Here is a 7,509-nt window from a genome sequence, read left to right on the forward strand (position 1 = left end):
TACCTGAAAATTGCCTTGTGTGTCTGTAACTAAGAGAAGATACTGACTATATTGTACTCATTGTTGCATCTCTAGTACTGAGTGCAATTTTAGGCATTTAGAAGGTATTTAATGTTTAAGAAATAAAGAACTCATAGACCCTCATACTGGGAAAGGCTTTAGAAGAAACGGAGACCCACAGGGGCAAAACAGCCTTGCATTTCAACAGAGAGGCGGAGACGGATCTAAAAGTCAGCTCACTGGATTCCAGTCATTGCCTGTTGCCCTACACCACGCTGTTTTTGCCCCCTGCTGACACCCAATGCACTGAGCTCTCAAGCTGGTGAGAGAGCCTTCCAGCTCTACTGACCCTGCCATCTCCACCATGCCCTAAAGCCCAGCTTGATTCCCTCCCACCCACTTCCTGGAAATCTTTGCTCTCAGAACTAACCTACTTCTTCACTAAACTTCTCCAGCAAACCCACTCCAAGGTTTTATCCTAAAGAAAGTATTTTAAAAGAAGAAAAACAAATAAATGCATGCATGAAGATACCCATTGGCAGCATTATCTGTAAAAGCTAAAAATTAGAAATGACAAAAATCTCCATATAATTAAATAAAATTAAATTCCTCTATATAATTTCCACATGAATAAAATTCCTAATTATATCATGCAAACTAAAACGAGTTTCACTGCAACATTGGAATATTTTTATTTTTACTTTATTGTGTTACCAAACACTTCCATAGTATTTACTATATTTAGGAACTATTCTACTGAATATTAACTAATTTAAATCATCAAAAGAGCCCTATGAGACAGGTGCTATTGTGATTCTCATTATTAGTCAGAACACATTTGTTTTGGTCTAACTTAAAATGGAATTTAAATGACACACAGTGAGAAACACTACGAGCCACTTCAAATGTTTTTCTTCCATGGAGAACAGTGCAAGACACATTCTTTAAAAAACTTAGTTAAATGAGTTTTAAAACTTACAAGTTTAGATCAGACAAAATGCATTGACTCACTGAAACTACTCCATTTTCACACAGCCACAGATCTGCAAGTCCATTTCATCATAACCATTAATAAATCACAAGACAGATGCTCCAAATTGCAGGTGTTGCTAATAGTGATAGCTCACATTTCTTAATGCTTTACAAGTATTATATCTGGTAATCCTATAACAATTCTGTAAAGTAGATATTATCGGTTATAGCCATTTTACAGAGGAGGGAACTGAGATGCAAAGACCTCAAACGTAGTGTTCATGCACTCTAAGCTCAAACAGATAGTAAGGGGCAAAGCCAGGCTTCACACCCAGGCAGTCTGACTTCTGGTGTCCCTGCCCATCTAGCCCCAGGCTGCCACTCAGGACAGCTTCAGAGTGAGCAACAGTCTTGAAGTATAGATGACAGATGTGATAGATAAAGTAATCCTGTTACAAAGTTAAACATAATCACAGCTCTGAATTATTACAATTACAGAAAATTATTATAACATATTAATTTTTATTATGTATATTAAGTTGTATTTGCATTGTATTTGCCAGTGGCTAATTATTATCCTGAGCAATGCTGGGTCACGTGGCTACTGGTTAATGATAAGGAAATTACTAAACACGTTGTGGTACACTAATATTATGAAAGACCATGACGATGTGAAAGCTAAAAAAATGGAAAAAATGTAAAAGCAAAAAATATTTATAATATAGTATTAAGCGAAAAAACAAACACACAATTCATATAATTACATATTACAAAAATGTAGATTTCACTATGCTTAAAATATTATTAAAAAGAAATGCATATTATCAAAAACTAGAAGGTAGTGTGAAAAATATGAAACTAATTTGTCTTTGGGTAGTAGGTTAAGATAATTATTTTTCTATTTTAAAAATCTTTTAGTAATATTATATTAAAATTTGTATAAATCTGAAAAAAAAAAAAAGAAAATCCGAATGCTTTCCAACTCATTTCTCTGTCCATCTGCCTTTAGTTTTCTAAGCAAACCCTAAAGTTTCTCTCTGCAGGCGGGGGCGAGGGCGTGTGCAGGGAGTGCTGATGGCAATCTAATATGTGAGCACTTTTGGTGAAATCAGTTTGGTTCAGTGTTACAGCATCAATTTAATATTCTTTGTTATGGATGATAAATCATACTGAGTATAAAACAGATTCTAAAGGTTTGTGTAGAAATGTATAAAATGTATAGAAAAGTCTCTGGAAGATATCTCAGTTTGGAATGTGAAGGCATTTGTGAAATAATTAGGATAGTTTAACTGAGGCTGTGCCAAGAGATGACAATTTAACTAGGAAGGAAAATTGTCAGTTTCAGAAAGAGGATCACACTATTAAATGACCTAATTTTGTTAGACGGCCAACATCCCCAATATCGGAGTATTCATGAGTACAGTTACTAGTGCTGAGGCTCTCAGAATTCTTAGCTAAAGACATTGATCATGGCTCTGACTGCCTAGGCTATGTGAAAAAACATGACGTACAAAAAGTAAGTAGAAGTATATTTTAATCAACAGAAACCTCATATTTGTTATTTCTGTTGAATGATAATTTTTGGAAACTCAGTAATTTACGTAAGAATATCTTTTAAATAAAGAATGTGGGCCAGTCACGGTGGCTCACACCTGTAATCCCAGTACTTTGGGAGGCCGAGGCAAGTGGATCACTTGAGGTCAGGAGTTTGAGACCAGCCTGGCCAACATGGCAAAACCCCGTCTCTACTTTAAAAAATACAAAAATTAGCCAGCATGGTGGCGTGTGCCTATAATCCCAGCTACTCGGGAGGCTGAGGTGGGAGAATCACTTGAACCCAGAGGCAGAGGTTGCAGTGAGCCAAGATCGTGCCACTGCACTCCAGCCTGGGCAACAGAGCAAGACTCCATCTCAAAAAAGAATGTGATTTTTTAGCCACAAACTAGGAGTCCTATTTATTGGAAAACTCACACATACACTAGGGAGAGGAGGGTGGTGCTTCGGCTGAGCTCTAAAAAGCAGTAATTTTTCATTTATAAAAGGGCATTTTATGAGTAGAAGACAAGTCATTATGATATTTAACTCAGGAACAGCCCTATTTCATATTCTGGCAGGAGTCAAGGGTACAGAACCTCAAATGAAGGATAAAGAAGAGAAATGAAAGCTCTCTGAAGATTAACTTGTGGTTTGTCCTTTCCGTCCAAATAGAGATGGGTGCCTGGGAGGCCCCCCTTTTTCTGTTCTACATTACTCTTTCCTTTTCTGTTTCCTAATATACATACACTCCTACCTCTATACCTACCCCACCTTCACCCCCAAGCCTGAGGCTGCAGCCTGTCAAGGCCCTTCAATGTCACAGCCAGTGAGACCACCTTTCTTATGAGCCTACAACAAAAAGTAACTTGTCCCTTGCTCAATGCTGGACCCACAAGAACGGATCCACAGTTATTTGAGCCTTATGGTTAGGCCTTTCAGATTCTTAGAATCTAAACAACAGATAAATCTCTTGCTAATATTGAAAGTCTCTTACAGCATAAATTTGAGGTTTCATTACACGAAAAGGCTCTCTACCAACAATGATGATACAAAGCAAGCAAAGACAAGAGGAGGACTTAGAACTCTGTCCTGCCACAAATGTACAGTCATAACTCGACAGAGCAGCAACCTTGCAAACGTAGGAGTCAAGGAAATACTTGTCTTCCTCCTGGTGAGTTTAGACTGTATCATCTCTGAGAATGAATATTTGTCTTTGGGATGTTTGTGTGGACATCTGAGTAAACAGTTACCAGCTAGACACTTGGAAAACTAAGGAGGAGAGTCTGCAAGTCACCTGATAAGGAGAACTTGAACTTGAATGCGAACAGACTTAAGTATGCCTGCCCTGAGCTGTTCTGCAAAATTTGGAGTGCCAAGGCCGCTGTGGACTATCCTATTAAGAGTGTCTGCAGCACTATTCTAGAATGAATAACTTAGACTTGAGGAATGCGGTGCTGAAGAAACCTTGTCAGGAGTGTAGGGAAGGATTCTAAGGCAAGAACAACTCTTATGAATGAGGTTGCCATTTCCCAGAAGATAGGTAGGAGTCACCCTGTAGAGTGGAAAGAGGAGTGGGATTAGAACTGGTAACACCCATGAGGGGACCCCCATAAAGTGTTTAACTTCATGGTGGCTCATGCCTGTAATCCTAGTACTTTGGGAGGCTAAGGCAGGTGGATCACTTAAGGTCAGGAGTTCGAGACCAGCCGGGCCAACATTGCAAAACCCCGTCTCTACTAAAAATACAAAAAATTAGCCAGACGTGGTGGTGCATGCCTATAATCCCAGCTACTCCAGAGGCTGAGGCACCCGGGAGGCAGAGGTTGCAGTGAGCTGAGATCATGCCACTGCACTCCAGCTTGGGCAACAGAGCGAAACTCCATCTCAAGAAAAAAAAAATTTTTTTAACTCCTTAGTGCTGTCTCTTGGAGTATGGGAGAAGTCATATTAGCATATAGTTTAGTTACCCCAACTGTACAATAAAATCTGATAATCTTACACATGCTTGTGTGGTATTGTGAAGCAACCAGGCTATAAAGGAAAGGGTAGCTTACCCCATACTCATCGCCTCATGGGGGACTACACAGGGCCCAGCATCTATCAAGGAAACTGTTTCAGAATATGACCATCAAAAAAGGGAGCCGTTGTTCCCATTGAACCTGGAAATGATGAGGAGAAGCAAAGGATACTGGCCACTAAAAGCCTGGTGCCCAGCTCAAGAGCAGCCTGAATTAAACCCTCTATTGGAGGCCAGCTGATGATTACACTACAAATCTCTACTTGAGCTTAATTTGGTAAATTCATTTTCTTAAATCCATTTTATCTAGATTTTAAAAATCATTAGCATAGTTACACAAATGACTCTCTATAATTAATTTCCACCGTATCGTGGCTACTTTCCATGTATCATTCCTAAACTTTTATAATGTCTTTTCTCTTTTTTAAATTGATTTGGCTCGCTGATATTTTATTTTATTGATTTTGTTTTCTATTTGTATGTCTACCATTCCTCCCCCTGCCAGATGCACACACAAAACTGAATTTTTTTTATCAATTTTAAACAGGATTCTAACTTATTATATATTCTCCTTTTATCATTTCAAAATTCTCACCTCCTTTTTTTCTGATCATTTTTTAGCAATTCATTTGAAAATAAATGAATAGGAAATTTATTTTTAATCTTCTTGATTTAGGTAATGAAAATGTTTAAAGCTAGGAATTTTCCTTGCATTCTGCTTGGCCATACCTCACAGATTTTCCTCATAATGTTGCCACTATCACCGTTTTCAATGCATTCTTAATTGCAGATTTGAAATTCCCTCTATCTTTTCAGAGTAAATGGGAAGAATTTTTTTCCAAGAAGTTAAAGTGTTTCTTTCTTCCATCTTTTGTTATTTATTTCAATTGTATTGTACTGTGGTCAGAAAATCCTGCCATAATAGATCAACTTTTCAAAACATATACTGAGGTTTACTTTTTGATCCATATGGTCAATTTTTTTAATGTCTCGTGGGCATTTGAAAATAAGGTATATTTTCTATTCTCAAAGTTCTGTGTGTGTGTGTGTGTCTTTTTCAATATAGATAGATAGGTATGACAACCTTATTAATTGTTTTGTTCTCAGAACACAATGTTAAGGGCTCAAACCTACTGTCAAGCAAACCTGGGTCCAACACTTTCTGTGTGATCTTGAGCATATCATTGACCACTCTAAATCCCAGTTATCATGGGATTAGTATCCCAATGACTGCGGACTTTGTAGACATTTCTTTCTGATGTTTAATGGAGTCCAAATAGTAGGTCTCTATAGGAACTCCTATTAAAATCTCCTGTCTTTCTTTACGCTCTAATGCCCTGAACTCCCAGAATCTTCTCACTCTTCTATGCCAATAAAAATTCTCTGGCCAGGCGTGGTGGCTCATGCCTGTGATCGCAGCACTTTGGGAGGCCGAGGCAGGTGGATCACCTGAGGTCAGTAGTTTGAGTCCAGCCTGACTAACATGGTTGAAACCCCATTTCTACTAAATACAAAAAATTATCCAGGCATGGTGGCGTATGCCTGTAATCCCAGCTACTCAGGAGGCTGAGGCAGGAGAATTGCTTGAACCTGGGAGGCGGAGGTTGCAGTGAACCGAGATCGCGCAATTGCACTCCAGCTTAGGCAACAAGAGTGAAACTCCGTCTCACTCTGTCGCCCAGGCTAGAGTGCAGTGGCACATTCTTGGCTCACTGCAACCTCTGCCTCCCAGGTTCAAGCGATTCTTGTGCCTCAGCCTCCCAAGTAGCTGGGTTTACAGGCACATGCCATGACATCCGGCTAATTTTTTATATTTTTGGTAGAGATGGGGTTTCACCATGTTGGCCAGGCTAGTCTTGAACTCTTGACCTCAAGTGATCCACCCACCTGGACCTCCCAAAGTGCTGGGATTACAGGTGTGAGCCACTGTGCCCGGCCAAAATTCTCTTTTTCTGACATCTTGGGCTCCCCAAGCCCTCTGTCCTCTACTCATTCCCATCTCTATGTGTCAAGCTCCAGACACAGGGCCTTGAGCTGTTGTCTCTCATCCTGAGTAAATGCCACTTGTCTTCAGTCCTAGTGCTTGAGAATCCATCCTCTGCTTTTCCCTGCCGATTCCTTGTCCTTTTTCTCCTCAAAGAACAGAGAAAGAAGCAGAAGCAGAGAAAATGGTGACAAACTCTCCACATGTTAATAAATGTTATCACAGCTATTTTTAAGTCTCATTACCTGCCTCACATGTGTCAAACCTTAGAATTCCAAAGAGCCACATACATCACCCAACTACCACAGTGAGTAGCATCCAGACAAGGTGAATTTTACAAGGTTACAAAGCTGCTCAGTTAACTTGTCCCAATCCAGTTTCCTCTCCACTATTTTAGCCTGAACTTCTTGGGAATTTCCTGGCTGCATCATTTGTGATGGCTTCATCTTAATGCATGCAAATCAGTTCCCTTTAGTTTTTCCCTAAATTTCCTAGTCCGGTTGACCAGATAAAAAAATGTGTAGAAGACTCTGCCTTCTATTCCTTCCTTCATCCCCCAGCTACCCACCTTTACACTCCCTCCTCATTGCTCCAGAAAGGAGCAAATCCAGAGTTGGTCTCATTCCAGAATCTGAGAAAGACACCACCTACTTCAGAAGAGCAGAAACTCTTTACAACACCAGGATTGGGAAGAGGTGGCTAAAGAAAAAGGAAAATCCTTACACAAAGAACTACCTGATACACATGAAAGCCTACACTGAGAACATCTCATCTAGGTCTTACCACCAAAAAGGCATTTTTTTCCCTCTCATAGAAACCACAAAGGTCTGAATCTGACCCAGAGGACTATCCTTTTCTAATCATGGAAAGGAATCTTGACTTGAAACTGTCCAAGAGCTCCGACCAATCCAGTAGCAAGAGAAAGGGTGGCCGGGGTGCCTACTGATGGGAGGAGCTCCTGAGCCCAGCCCTGGAGGCCTCAGAGTTCAGGGGCCCACTT

General features: G+C 39.9%; 2 annotated features.

The window, feature by feature from the left end:
- Nucleotides 3,440-3,549: an enhancer, noted in NCBI's record as "active region_2471". NCBI's record gives its function as "activates an Ori minimal core promoter by ATAC-STARR-seq in GM12878 lymphoblastoid cells {active_cell/tissue: GM12878}" and the evidence as "EXISTENCE:reporter gene assay evidence [ECO:0000049][PMID:35858748]".
- Nucleotides 7,233-7,392: an enhancer, noted in NCBI's record as "active region_2472". NCBI's record gives its function as "activates an Ori minimal core promoter by ATAC-STARR-seq in GM12878 lymphoblastoid cells {active_cell/tissue: GM12878}" and the evidence as "EXISTENCE:reporter gene assay evidence [ECO:0000049][PMID:35858748]".

This window comes from Homo sapiens, chromosome 1, assembly GCF_000001405.40.
Source record: "Homo sapiens chromosome 1, GRCh38.p14 Primary Assembly".
Taxonomy (NCBI): Eukaryota; Metazoa; Chordata; class Mammalia; order Primates; family Hominidae; genus Homo; species Homo sapiens.